Below are 14,688 nucleotides of genomic sequence, written 5' to 3'. Positions count from 1 at the left end.
AGCGCCTCACTCCACTGCTTCTCACTTCTTACCTAGTGTTCCGCTCCATCTGATAATTAGAGCTGGGAAAGACTGGTTTGACTGGTTTGACTATTTGGGGTTCACCCAGTAACCCACATGCTTTAGGCCCTTTCAAGTTCCTGCAGAGGCTGCTTTCCGGCACAGAGGAGGATTTCAGAGTGACCGCGCCGCTTGAATATAAATGCAAGTTAATACAGTGCCCCAGTGTGTCTATTAACTGGGCTAAAGATTTACATTTTGAGGTTGAACTTTCCCTCTCTATTAAACCATTAATTTCATAGGCTGGGCAAGGAGAAAACTCCCAGGCATACAGACAAGGTGACCTCCGTGCTGCCCACAGTAAAAGACTTCCTCCAATAACTAGTGTTTTCTTCTAGCTTGAATCTTCTGTACAGATACGTTTTCAAAACTCGGCAAAGTCACTATTATGACCATGACCAGCCTAGAAATAAAAACCCACTTGGGCTGCGTCATTACATCTTACAGTAAATACTATTTTGCTTAGCTCTGAACAAGAAATCTTCCCTGAGTTTTCCCAGGTAATAATGCACTAGGTTTAAAGGATAATCATGAAAAAAATAACGTTTAAGGCTTTCCATAAATAAACCTCAAAAATATCATATAAAGAGAAAAGCTGTCGCTCTGTAACAAAGGCCTAGGACTTTTGCCAACCTTGTTAGAATAATGATGCAGAAATTGGGGGCCACGTTTTTCACACTTACAAAGAAATAAAACTGGCATACGAGTGATCACCGGCACAAGGTGCCTTGCACCCCAAAAATGATCCGGCTTCCTCTGTGTTTCCTGGTCTCCTGCTGATCACTCCTTGCATGAAGTCCTGTGCCTATGAACACCTAATAAATATTCACTGATGATGACAACTTATATCTTCCCTGAGACTGGGACAATACCCTGGCCTGTCTGATGTCACTGGCATCACGCCACCCAAATCGCAAGTGCAAGCAGCAGGTGGGCGCTGGAGCAATAAAGGAGTGTGTGTGGCCACAGGAGGGACACTGCGGGGCCCTTCCCTGCCCGAAACCACCACAGCCTGCCAGCCGCCAACGGGGACGGGAGGAAGGTTCCTCCGGAGCTTCCACCAGGGGATTCAGCACTTCAACCTGCCTGGAGAATTTCATTAGAATCTCAGAAGCTGAGAAATTATTTCAACACGATAGTTCACAATGCAGAGATGCACATTTATCATCTTTTACATTTAAAATATTTTATTGGAGGGGTGTGAGAGGAATTTCCATAAGTATATATAATCTCTGATTTTTAAAAATTTCAAGTATGGAAAAGTACCAAATAACTTATATTCAGCAGTTCTGATAAGAACCTAGTATCTTATTTTTTATAAGCAGATTATTTTGTTAGAGAGTATTATAGTAACTCACTTTCCCCTTAGAAATTCTCCCTGCTTATAGATGTTAGCTAAGCTCCATTAGCACAAAAGGTTGCCTGTCTTTTTTCTCTGAAGATAAAAACATCCTGCTCATAGTTTTAAACTCTTTGACAAACAACAACAAAAGCCCTAAACTTCTCTGTGCAGTGGCATCCTGATGAAATCTAACTGGAAAACGATAAAGCGACAGAAATCCCAGGCTTTGAGATATTTTTAATTGCCAATTTTCCTCTTGCACTGAGGCATTAATCCTTGAAGAATAGAAAGTAGACTTGCCAATAACCCAGCAGAGAAGGGGCATGGGAGTAAGAGAAGGAAGGAAGCACATAATGGTGGGAGAACTCCCCCTCTCCCCCCAGAAGCCTCTGTTGAATCCACCCCTGTCCCCACCCTGCCTGCCCTCCTGGGCCTCCCCGCCTTGTAACTGGAAGCCAGCCGAGAGCAGCATTGGTATTCAAATTAGTCTGCCAATCTCTGCCTGGCACAGCTCTTGGTGGCCTGTCAGTACATGGCTGGAAGACAAGGTACCAGATCTTAGATCTGGGGAGATCCAGCCAGATTTCAAACCCACCCAGGATATGTGTCATCAGCCTATCCACGGGATGTCTTGAGGCGGAAAGTGTTTTCTTCTCCATCGTCTTTATTTTTATTAAAACAAAACAAACAAACAAAAAAACCCAAGAAGACAATGCATCTCCAACAGAGATTTAAAAAGACAGAGGAAGGGGGCTATGCAGAGTCAAGCGAGGCACTCAGCACTAAACATCGGTTTCCATGGGAACGAGAGCTGCTTTGTGGAGCTCCGGCAACTTCCCACTCGCTCTCCCCCATAGAACTGGGACCACAGTCTCTGGCATTGTATTTGTGTGGCCAACTTTTCTTTTTTCTCGTTCACTCCCCCTGCCTCTCCCCAGCAACAACCCCCATCGCCACACAAGCAAAAAGGAGAGGAGTGCTCAGAGGTCTGGCTGGATTCAATCACAAAGCATAAAAGGACCCAGCAACGGGGAGCCCCCACGCTGCCCGAAAGACCCTGCCATCCTTTCGTCTCTTGTCTCATTTTTCATCCCCTCTTCAAGCAGCTCATGAGGACTATTTCTTAACTCTTTACCTGCATAACACACAATCATTGTGTATCAGTTTTAAATTACATTTTCATATGCCTAAAATGCTCTGGGCACATGGGAATTTTTTTTTTTTTTTTTGACACAGTCTCCCTCTGTCGCCCAGGCTGGAGTGCAGTGGCCCGATCTCGGCTCACTGCAACCTCCGCTTTCTGGGTTCAAGCCATTCTCCTGTCTCAGCCTCTGGAGTAGCTAGAACTACAGGCGCATGCCACGACACCTGGCTATTTTTTTTTTTTTTAAAGTACAGATGGGGTTTCACCATATTGGTCAGGCTGGTCTTGAACTCCTGACCTCAGGTGATCCACCCACCTCAGACTCCCAAAGTGCTGGGATCAACAGGCGTGAGCCACCGTACCTGGCCAGATATTTTTTTTTAATAGTAATAACCTAAATAGAAAATAGTCAGTGTTGAGAGAAGCATGATTTTAAAGCAAACTTAGTAAATAGTCAAAATGTTGATGTATTCTGTTGGGGTGCATGTGCACGTGTATATACGCTAGAGGGAGGGTGACAGAGAGGAACTTTTAGAGGGTCATTCCTGCCTACCTTTGATGAGGGGGTGTAGTTCAGTGTTCAAACACTGTGAGGTCAGGTGAAAATCCGAAGTTCATCTTCTCTATTTAACTGAATACCTTTAATTTGGTGGTGTTTTTTTTCTAATTTATTTTTACTTTTAAATTTAAAAAGGGAAATATTTATGAATCTATTACTCAGAAGCTGCCCTGCAAAACATTTTAACACATAAATCCTCATCATTTTGCTAAGTGTTAGAACTTTTTTTTTAATGAAAGAAAAGGCATATTTTTTAACACTGTTCATAAATCACCACTAAAATATTTAGTACTACAAGTTTTTGAGGTTTCAAAGGCACTCCTTTCTTTAAAAGGTTTACAGAATGCTTCAAAGTCTACCCAGGCAAAAACTCCCTTGTCATTCACAGGCAAGCTTTCAGATTCAAAGACGTTTGCATTTTGTTTGTAAGTATTTATTTAGGAGATCTGCAATTCATTTTCTTTTGCAAGATGAAAATGTCAATTTTCATCATTTAAATTCAAACTTGTAAAAAAAAGTTCAGCCTATTTATGTGTAACTGAGCTGCAATCTTACCATTTTGAAAGGTTTCTTGGACTATACGGCATGAAAGGAGTTATTAAAGATTGAAAGCCATTTAGAGCTTTGGTGAATAAGAAATATGATTTGTCCATCAAAGCTAGAAATCATTTTTAAATCCATCTCTTCCCTCATTCACCTCCCTCATGAATATAATGCCTTTTTATCACAAAGATGTTAGGACATTGGCATCGGTGTTGATTCTTTGACATCCTCCCAACTCACCTGTTCTGTCCTCCCCCATAGAATTGTTCAAGATCCACTTAAAACATTATTTCTCAAAATGTGAAGCAGATGCAAACCCTGGGCTTGTTGCTTTACTTCCTGGGTCACTATTACATACTCTCCTCCCTTTCCTCCTCTCCCCCAACTCCCCTCCCTTCCCGTCCTTCCCAGAAAGAGGCATTGAGTCAGGATGCTCTGAAGACCAGAGCAGATCAGTAACTAGCAATAATTGATAGTAACTGGTAAAGGGCTTCTCCCACACCCACTGGAAATGAACCTTCATTTTCGCTATTCTTCAGTTCCAAATGTTTCCCACTGCCCTGTCAAAGACACAGACGGTGCGTTTTTCCCTGTAGAGCACCTCCCTTGACCCTGCTCCTGCAGACCTTGGTCTGTGCTTGTCCAGTGAGAGCCGCACCTCCGTGGGGATTCCATGCTAGTGTGGGAAGGCAGGTTAAGGGAGGGCTGCACACACGATGATTGTTGTTAAAAGCACCAGTGTGTTCCCTAGAGGATTTGAAGGGGGAGCAATGGAAGCGTGCCCCTCCTCCTTCTGTCTCCAGGAAGAAAGGCTTCCCCTGGCTTAGAGTGCTCTAGGGCGCTGGGTCCCCTCAGGGTCTTCCTTCTGTGTTCTATGTTCAACCTTCCATCCCCACACCCCAACCCCAGGCCCTGCCAGTTCCCAGCACTGGCCCTGTTCTCCCGGTTACAGGAAAGGCGTCCCAGTCCAGTCCCCAAGAGAGGGTTCTTGGACCTCCCACAAGAAAGAATTTGGGATGAGTCCATACAGGAAAGTGAAAGCAAGTTTATTAAGAAAGTAAAGGAAATAAAGACTGGCTACTCCATAAGCAGAGCAGCAGCATAGGCTGCTCAACTGATTATACTTCTTGACTATAGACTTCTTGATTATATGCTAAACAAGGGGTGGATTATTCATGAGTTTTCCAGGAAACGGCTGGGCAATTCCCAGAACTGAGGGTTCCTCCCCTTTTTAGGCCATATAGGGTAACTTCCTGACATTGCTATGGCATTTGTAAACTGTCATGGCGCTAGAGGGAGTGTCTTTTAGCATGCTAATGCATTATAATTAGTGTATAATGAGCAGTGAGGACGACCAGCTGTCACTTTTGTCACCATTTTGGTTTTGGTGGGTTTTAGCCAGCTTCTTTACCACATGCTGTTTTATCAGCAGGGTCTTTGTGACCTGTACCCTGTGCTGACCTCCTATCTCATCCTGTGACTAAGAATGCCTTAATCTCTTGGGAATGCAGCCCAGTAGGTGTCAGCCTGATTTTACCCAGCCCCCGTTCAAGATGGAGTCGCTCTGGTTCAATCACCTTTGACACCCCTGCCTTGAAACATGGGTAGGTCTCTTGAAGTCCCAAAAAGGTTTTCGCTGGGCTCCACTGCATCTTCTATTTACCTTCTCTAGTCACACATCATAAAAATCATCCCAGAGAAACATCGTTGCCACCAGGGAGTCTCACACTCTCAGGTCCTGGCATTGGAAGGCAGCTGGAGGTTAGCAGAGCCATCCTTCTTTCCTTCCCCTCAGGATAAAATCTTGAGTGGGTGGCCTGAAGTCACATTGCCTGCTCCCTCTCTTTTTCCCTCAGCCTCTGTGGCCTCACTCCCACTCCTACCAGTGCACAAAACCATGTTCCTGAAGGTCTTCATTCTGTTGCCCCCATTACACATCAGAAGCACTTTGCTTTTGTGTTTCCATGATGCTGACATTTTCTGTTGCTTCCCCTACCTCTTTCCCTGATCCTGTTTCCTTTCCTAAGTCCTCATCTCCTTCCTTCTTTCTTCTGTTTTTGCCCTCTGGCCTCACCTCTGCTCATTTAATTTCAACTCCAAGTCCGCATCAGTTAACAAACCTCATCTTTCCTTAAACCTCCTCAGCTTCCCTTCCATACATGCCAATTGCAGCTTCTCCAGGTGAGACATTCCTCACCCACACCTGCATTATTAAAAAGGCCTCCCAACAGGTGAATTCTAAATTCAAAAGTTCAATGGGTTCTAAACAGGAGGCTGACCTAAAGAATGCAAGAATATATGGTCTTTAAGAATAGGGACTATCTTACTCAACTTGAATTTTTAGTCATGCCCAGCACATCATAGAGCCACAAGAAACCCAGGGAAATCCTAGGTTTAGTGGACTCTAAAAGGCATACACGCATTCATTCAAAACTACTCGTCATGTCACTACTGACCAATAGAGACACAGTAGCAAAACACATCAAATGGAGTTTCTACAATTTTTGAAACTCCCAGTCGAATGGAGGCAAAGATATTAAACCAATAATCATTAAAGTAATGAATCATAATAAAATACAAGGTAAAAGCACAAGGTGCAGTGGAAATCGGTAACAGCTGTGGGGAGCACAAAAGCCACCCTTGAGGAGCCTGGGTGGGACCTGAAGAGTTCCGGGGGTGAGTGGGCTGGGTGGGCTATGGGAGCAGCCTTTTGGACGGGGGCTGGAAAGCACCTGGTGGACTAAGGTTTGGAAAACCCGCTGTGAGGCTGAGGGATGATGATAAAGTGAGGCTGTGGTGCAAGGGGAGAGGCCTCGGTCTTCCAGGGAAAGTCGGACTTCACCTAGAACAGAGGGACTCCATGAGACACAGTGCATGATGGTACCTTCCAAGCTCGTTCCTGTGGATTTGGGGTGGGCCACACCACTTCTCTATATTTGCTGCCACAACCTTAAAATCTTCACAATAAATGTAGCGAAACTTAGGGATGACTGGTTGGAATGCAAAGGGTTTGACTTTGTCTGGCTCTGTGTCGCCACCCAAATCTCATCTCGAACTGTAAGCAGGGGAGGGGTCTGGTGGGAGGTGATTGGGTCATGGAGGCGGACTTCCTCCTTGCTGTTCTCATGGTAGTAAGTTCTCATGAGACCCGATGGTTTAAAAGTGTGTGGCACTTTCCCCCGCACACTCTCTCTCCTGTCACCATGGAAAGAAGGTGCCTGCTTCCCCTTTGCCTCCCACCATTGTCAAGCTTCCTGAGGCCTCCCTAGCCATGCTTCTGTGCAGCCTGTGGAACTGTGAGCCAATCCAACCTCTTTTCTTCATAAATTACCCAGTCTCAGGTAGTTCTTTACGGCAGTATAAGAATAGACTGACACAGGCTTGAAATAAGAAAATATTTTACTTTCCCGTTCCACTAACAGGGCAAGTTAACATTGCTATCTAAGACGATCACAGAGGCCAGGCGAGAAGGGGACAACCTTGCACCTGAGCCCTGGGTGATGACGCACACAGAGTTCATGGTGACAAGTCCGTCTGTCTGTGAATTCGTTCAGATCTGACAGCGTCAGGCGTGTCATGGACAGGACAGCCCCAACCCCGTGAGAATCATTTCCTCTTGGGCCTTGGGGAAACAATCCTTTCAAGAAGCAGCTTCTTGAAGCTTGGAAAACATCTAATCAGTGCGGCAGTATGGCAGCAAGACTTCTTGAACAGGGGGCCCCCAGAGCTTTCTGACAATACATTCCGGAGATGCACCTGAGAACCCCTTTGAAAGACAGCACAATTTGACATCCACATTTTGTGACCATGACCTCAAAAACAGGTTCACTCTTACCATTAAAAAAAATGGGGAAAAAAAGCCCTGCTTTACACCTAACTCCTGCACCTACCACCCATAAGTTAATAAATAGAAGATGGCAATATTTTACTTTGACCCCTCACTGAAACAATCTGAGATTATTTTGTTTTTATCAACATCAAATGCACAGCTGCTGCAATCATGTATGACTCAAATATTAAAGGCAACTTTCACCAAATGGTCACACCAGCAAAAGCTTCCTCTACTTCTAATGTCCCTCTGTGGGTTGATTGGGTTGATTGTCCCACAGATAGGTTCTTCCTCATTTAATCAACCAGGATTAGCGTAAGGGTAGGCATTCACATTCATGCTTACTAAAAATAACGTGACAAAAAAGGCTTTGGGATAAGGCTAGCTTCCAGATTACCAAGTTAAATAAGCATGTACCATTACCTTAAATTTGCAAGTACTTTAATGTTTTAAGAATGTTTCCTATGTATTTATCTGGTTCACTAATCATTTATTCAGCTTGTCTGCATGGCCTGTATCCTGAGAAGTTTTGTGAAGTTCAGTGTTACTACGCCATCTTAATTTAATCAGGGTGATGTTTTCAAAGTTATCAACATGCAGATTTGTTAGAATATAGGTTTGGCCACTATCACAGAAACCATAAATGACAGTAGCTTAAATAAGTTGGAAGTTTATTTCTCTCTCATAAAATACTGAGATGAGAGGAACATCCAGCTGGAAGGGCAGCTCCCTCCTCCTGCCTTGTTGCTCTGTCTTCCGTAAGGTTGTGAAAGGAAAACAAATCTTGGGACCCCAAAATCACTAAGCTAAGGAGAAAAGTCAACCTGGGAACTGCTTAGGGCAAACCTGCCTCCCATTCCATTCAAAGTCATCCCTCTGCTCACTGAGATAAATGCATATCTGATTGCTTCCTTTGGAGAGGCTCATCAGACACTCAAAACAATGCATCCATTTGTCTCTTATCTACCTACGACCTGGAAGCCCCCTCCCTACTTCTAGTTGTCCTGCCTTTCCAGCCCAACCACCATACATCTTAACATATTGATGTCTCAGGTCTCCCTAAAATGTATAAAACCAAACTGTGCCCTGACCACCTTGGGGACATGTCACCAGGACCTCCTGAGGCTGTCACAGGCACACATCCTTAACTTTGGTGAAATAAACTTACTAAATTGACTGAGACCTCTCTCGGATATGTGGGGTTCATGACGTACCATGCTCTGCACCAATGCTGGCTCATCCCACATTGGTATCCTGGACAGCAGAAGGGAAGAGGAGGCACCACCTGGAAGCTCCACATATCCCTCTCTGTACACACCACTGGCCAGGACATAGACTTATGGCCAAAATGAGCTGCAAGGGAATCTTGGAAGCATGGGCTGGCTAGGCAGCAGCATGCCTATGTAGAAATTCTAACACGAGTGCAAGATAAGAAGTGTCAACAAAAAGAGTTAGACTCCATAAAATATTTGAAAGATTTACTCTGAGTCAAATATGAGTGGCCAATGGCCCGTGAAACAGCTCTCAGGAGATCCTGAGAACATGTGCCCAAGGTGGTCAGGCTATAACTTGGTTTTATACATTTCAGAGACACATAAGACCTCAATAAATACATAAGATATCAATCAATATATGTAAAATTTATATTTGTTTTGTCAGAAAAGATGGGAAAACTGAAAGCAGGGAGCATCCAGGTCATAGGTGGCAATTTTCTGATTGGCAATTGGTTGAAAGAGTTCATCTAAAGACCTGGAATCAATAGAAGGGAGTATCTGAGTTAAGATACGGGGTCCAGGAGATCTAGGTTTTATCACACAAATGAAGCCTCCCTGCAGCAGGCTTCAGAGAAAATAGATTTTAAATGTCTCTTATCAGACTTAAAGAGTCTGTTTGTCAGTCTTAAGGTTTCTGTTTTAATGTTAATGCTGGTCAGCTATGCCTGAATTCCAAAGAAAGGAAGGGATCATGAGGCATATCTTACCCCCACTTCCCACTGTGGCCTGAATTCATTTTTCAGATTAACTTTGGAATGCCCTTGGCCAAGGGGAGGGCCCATCAGTTGGCTGACATGCTTTGACTTTTATTTTTGGCTTGTAGAAGAATGGATTTAGGGGGTAAAACCAACAATCTGTATAATATTTTTTTCTTTGTAGCTTTACAGCTTTTTATAGTAAAATAAGATTCTGTAGCACAATAACTAAATATTGTTGAATTGTTCAATATTTTGAATATTGAGCTCATGAACCAAATACTGTTTGGAGAGGAAGCACTACTATTTTATCTCCTCCTTTAGCGCATCAAAAACCAGGACCAGAAGACCCGCATCCGTGCCCCTCTCTCCTAGAGTTCGGACATGGTCCCCCTTTCACTTAGGATGAGATCTGTGCTTCTACTACTTGTAAAAAATGACATGAGACAAGGAAAAGAAGTCTGCTACTTAGTTATGGTCTAGGATATACTGAAAACATCAAGAAGAAAATATAAGAGTAGAGAGTCAAAGGTAGAAATCTCTAGGCTATACCCTGAGAGAGCGGAGAACTTCAGATGGGTGAGGATAACACAGAAACCAGGGCCTCTCTTGCCACCACCCCCATATACCCTGATGTCCCCCTTGGGGCTCTGGGAAGAGGTTTTCTTTTTATTTTATTTTATTATTATTATACTTTAAGTTTTAGGGTACATGTGCACAATGTGCAGGTTAGTTACATATGTATACATGCGCCATGCTGGTGTGCTGCACCCATTAACTCGTCATTTAGCATTAGGTATATCTCCTAATGCTATCCCTTCCCCGTCCCCCCACCCCACAACAGTCCCCAGAGTGTGATGTTCCCCGGGAAGAGGTTTACTTTGAGGCTTCTGTGGACAAGACGACCTGCTATTGCAATATGATTTCAGAGAGAGGTCTTGAAGTCAAGCTCTCTGGGGCTATTAGTGCCTTTATGTTATGAGCACTAAGCTGGGAGTCAGAGGCTCTGCTATGCGGGCAGCCAAGGCTGGGCAGAAGGACCCACAGCAGCATCCGGGATGCATAGGCCACGCAGGGGCAGGAAGCAGCTGGGACACAGGAAGCCAGGCCGGGGCTGAGGAAACCAGCTCTGTCCAACCCAGAAGAGAGACCACCAGGGTGCATTTATATTTTTTAAAAATGTCATGGAAAGAAATGCAATTTGAATTTTGTCCCTGACTTTCTCCCACTAGTAAAAGAAAAAAAAAGGATTGTTAAGACAAACAAAGTCCTGTTCTGAATACCATAGTTGCATATAATACATTCCACAAGGTAAATCTGAACTCTTGCCAAAAGTTTGTGAAGAAAATACAGACAGCATTCCACCCCTCAGTTCCCAAGATCTTAAAATGAAACTATTTCCTTGCCTGACTAAGAACAAACAAACAAAAATCCAGAAGAAGACAAAAGAAAAAAATCTTGAGATGAGTGCAATTAAAAACAACGTAATTTTCACATGTCATCTGGTCCTGGAATCACAGTTACTAAGCACTTGAACACCCTTTAGGGTTTCATTCTGTAAAATTTCCTTACTTTCCAATGTATGCAAATTCCAATTCAAAGTATATAAAAACACCTCTTTTTATTTTTTTCTCAGCAGAAATCAAATCTTACAGATACGGGTCCCACTCTATCACTCTTGTTCCTCTTGTAACTTTATTCTCTCGACTTCTCTGTAAACAGCTTGTCTCAGGTCTCCAGAAAACAAAACCATCTTTCCTTTGATCCTGACATATCCACAAGTGAATAAGTTGATTTTCCTCCTTCTTCTCACAACCAGTCTTACTGAATAACTCATCTACTTTTCTTAAGCGCAACATTTAACTCAAACGACCACTCAGGCTCCCACGCCCTCTCAATACACATAGGCTAATCCCTGTCATATCGTCCTCATCACTCTGCGTAGAGTTCTTTCAAGATTTTCCTCAATGGTTTTCAACAAACAAATTCAACAGACCCTTTGAAGACATCCTCCTCCCTAAACTCAGTGGTATTGGATACAACAGGCCAATCCTCTTTCCTGGCATTCTCTGTCTTTGGCAGCCCTGACCTGTGTTCTGAGGTCTCCTCCTTTCTTTCCAGATGCCCCTTCTGTCTCCTTCAGGCAGAGGTTCTGCAAAGATCCATCTTTGATGCCTTCTTGTATCTCTGTATACCCTGTGGCTTCCATGATTTATCTGCTGTGTGTAGAAGAGTCTTTCCAAGTCCTGAAGTCCAGGGTATGTCCCCAGGAGGGACATTGTGGTATCACAGATAGGACCATATTCAGTATTACTACTTTTGCTGAATTGCTCCCCAAAAGATGCAACAATTAATGTTCTCAGCAGCAGTGTTTGAGGTGCCCTACGGCTCTGCCTATACCTAAGCTTGTCATGTCAGAGTTCCAGGTTTCAAATTACATCACACTATTACCTTAATCTGCATTAAATCAAAAGGTTGAACATCCTTTCATATATTATTGGCCATTTAGGTTATCTTTTTTTTAAATTGTGTTTATATAGTTTAATTTTTACTTGGTTTGTTTCGTTGAATTGTTGGATTTCATCATAAACTCTGGATGCTAATCCTGTGTGGATTCTAGGCATTCGCGAATATCTTCTTCCAATGTTCTTAGCCCTTTTAGTCATCTCATTGTAAAGAAGTTTTAATTTTCATAATCTTTTAAGGTTTGTCCTTAGTATATCATATTTAAGAGATCACTTTTTACTATAAGATCAGAAATATGTTCTCCTTATCTTCTGAAAGTTGTACTGTTTTCATTGATTTTGGTGTACAGAGGGAGGTACAGACATAATCTACCTTTCTAAAATATAGTAACCGATTTCCACGATGGTTAGTGAATTTATATCCTTTTCTCTACCAATTTTGTGTGCTGTTTTCTGAAATCTTGCAGTCTAATGCTGGGCTCTCCATTCTCTTCCATCCTTCTATGTTTCTATTCCTTCTACCAACATTACACTGTCCTATGCCTGTTGTTCATACTGGAGTTGTTCCTTGCAGAAACACATCTTCAGCTGGACTTTATCGGAGGGAGTCTTTTGTAACCTTGGATGAAGATATAAAACTATAGCTCTTTTGTGTTGAATTTTATCAGGTGCTCCAGGAGTATTACCAGCCTAGGATCACTTTTTAAATAATTATTTTGCCTTATGGGCTCCTGGACCACATAGGTAATATATATTTCAACCCTATAAGTAGTTCGAGGGCACTGTTATGCTTACAAAAACTTAGAGGAGATTATTTTATGTGCAGAACTTAAGACACATAAGTTCTGTAGTGGCCTCCCTCCCTTGTGGGTACATTTTTAATTGAAACTTTCTACTCTTGCTATAGCCACTTGAGGATACCAGCTTTAAGCTCATGGTCTTAGATCTGACTTCTACTTCATTCATAGTTTCTGGAACTTACTGCTTGATGAGCTCAATTCTGCAATTAAAATATTTTTTATATAATACATATTGTCCAGATTGTCTGGTGATGGATTACTGATGGAGAAATTTCAGATTATTTAATTTGAAATACTGCTGATGTAAAAGTTAAGTGACTTATGCTTAATCTTGAGGCACCCCTCTTCATCCTCATGTCTCTATCTGCCTGATTTGATAATTTCAGCAGAATGACCCGTAAGCACCTCAAAATCAGTTGAACTTCTCCTTCATTTTCCTTCCAAAATAAAGTTCTGTTAATAACATCACTATCTCCAACCATACAGGTTCACTTCAATCTCAGTGCATTTATTGTATGTAAATTATGTGTCAAAGAAAGTGGGAAAAGATCATTGAGCATCCCTTCCTTGCCTCCAAAGCCAATAAATTCCAAACTTAGGTTTAATTAACCTCTGAAATGTCCAATTCCACTGCTTCCTTTCCAGTCCCGTTGCTCATTGAGTCTCAGTGCTTCTCATCCCAACCCTTGGAAGAGCCTCCACTTCCAGATGCTTCTCTTCAAGCAACCTCTCACTCTGGCCACGACTCATCCAGAAGTAGCATTTGGATTCCACCCTTTGCCTCCCCAAATTATCAAACGTCTCTGTGGTTTGTGAAATAGAATTCCAGCTCTTCTACCCAGAGCTTAAATCCCGCCATGATCTGATCCCAATCTACCGTCTGAAGCTAATGCTCCTCTCCATACGGGATCAGCCTCTACACACAAAATAAATGTTCTCCCTCCATGTTACACTTGGGGAGCAATACAGAGAATGAGTTCTGGAGTAAGGCAGTTTGGGTTCAAATGCTGGCTTCATCACTGACACACGATTTGGACAAGACAATGATTCCATCTGAGCCTCATTAGGACGTATTTTCAAGATGTAGCAGATATAATTTGCTGAAGGATTGAGAAAGAGGACTCCAGGTGTATAGCCTGAGCTACAGGAAGGACGCAGTCAGCACTGAGGGCTGTGGAGGGCTGGGAAGAGGAGGCAAGATTAGGAGTTCAGTTTTGAACATGGGAAGTGGGGACATCTGTTGGCACACATCCTTCAAGACCCAGCTTGAACATTGTCTCCTCTGGGTAACTGTCCTTCATTCAGCTTTTTACGATAGTGCAATCTCTGCTTTCCTCCAGCCACTACCTTCTTCCTCACAGTAGAGCTGGTTTATCTGTCTCTATTCTCCTCCCAGACAACAATCTTGCTTGTAAGAGGATTCAGGTCTGATTCATCTCTCTTCCCCTCCCCAATATTTAAGAGACGATTTTACACACAGTAAAAGATCAAATATATTTTTGAAGGAAAGTGAACATGTATATATTTTACTTCATATCGTGAATATCATTAAGTACTTCAAACCAGTGAGAAAATTCATTCTCACAAACTTTAATCCGAACAACAGACACAGCCTCCTTACACAGCAGGCTCTGAAACAGCTCTTCTGAAGGAAACTCTTCTAAAGTTGCTTGGCATTTTCCATCATCTCCTGTAAGAATCTGTGATTACAGATCCTTAGCGCTAACTATTCATTAATAGGAACCTCTGGTTGCTCTTCAATTATGTAATAGAGACAACATGTTTGCCGAGCAAATAAAAATGAGAGTGAATTGCAAAAACAAAAATAAAATACAATATGGACAGGTTGCAGCTCAAGCTTCACATACACATATCTGCAGATGTCTAAGATTTGCAGCATATGTGATGGGGTCCAGGGGAAAATGGGCAGCCCATGCCGAAACCCTTCTGTCTGTCATTTCACTATTACTGTACCAC

At 42.8% G+C, this 14,688-nt stretch overlaps 1 long non-coding RNA gene across 1 annotated transcript in view, besides 4 other annotated features; it reads right to left on the bottom strand.

Annotated features, from left to right (window-relative positions):
- Positions 1-14,688, bottom strand: part of LOC105378102 (uncharacterized) — a 155,467-nt gene that overhangs the window by 112,872 nt on the left and 27,907 nt on the right. The window lies entirely within an intron of this gene.
- Positions 535-1,035: an enhancer, noted in NCBI's record as "H3K4me1 hESC enhancer chr6:164366092-164366592 (GRCh37/hg19 assembly coordinates)". NCBI's record gives its function as "activates a minimal SCP1, AML or CMV promoter by ChIP-STARR-seq in primed H9 embryonic stem cells {active_cell/tissue: H9 hESC(primed)}" and the evidence as "EXISTENCE:reporter gene assay evidence [ECO:0000049][PMID:30033119]".
- Positions 1,036-1,537: an enhancer, noted in NCBI's record as "H3K4me1 hESC enhancer chr6:164365590-164366091 (GRCh37/hg19 assembly coordinates)". NCBI's record gives its function as "activates a minimal SCP1, AML or CMV promoter by ChIP-STARR-seq in primed H9 embryonic stem cells {active_cell/tissue: H9 hESC(primed)}" and the evidence as "EXISTENCE:reporter gene assay evidence [ECO:0000049][PMID:30033119]".
- Positions 2,435-3,088: an enhancer, noted in NCBI's record as "NANOG-H3K27ac-H3K4me1 hESC enhancer chr6:164364039-164364692 (GRCh37/hg19 assembly coordinates)". NCBI's record gives its function as "activates a minimal SCP1, AML or CMV promoter by ChIP-STARR-seq in primed H9 embryonic stem cells {active_cell/tissue: H9 hESC(primed)}" and the evidence as "EXISTENCE:reporter gene assay evidence [ECO:0000049][PMID:30033119]".
- Positions 4,673-5,364: an enhancer, noted in NCBI's record as "OCT4-NANOG-H3K27ac hESC enhancer chr6:164361763-164362454 (GRCh37/hg19 assembly coordinates)". NCBI's record gives its function as "activates a minimal SCP1, AML or CMV promoter by ChIP-STARR-seq in naive H9 embryonic stem cells {active_cell/tissue: H9 hESC(naive)}" and the evidence as "EXISTENCE:reporter gene assay evidence [ECO:0000049][PMID:30033119]".

This window comes from Homo sapiens, chromosome 6 (assembly GCF_000001405.40).
Source record: "Homo sapiens chromosome 6, GRCh38.p14 Primary Assembly".
NCBI lineage: Eukaryota > Metazoa > Chordata > Mammalia > Primates > Hominidae > Homo > Homo sapiens.
The sequence above is the reverse complement of the archived record's forward strand: the minus strand, read 5'-3'. Positions and strand labels throughout refer to the sequence as shown.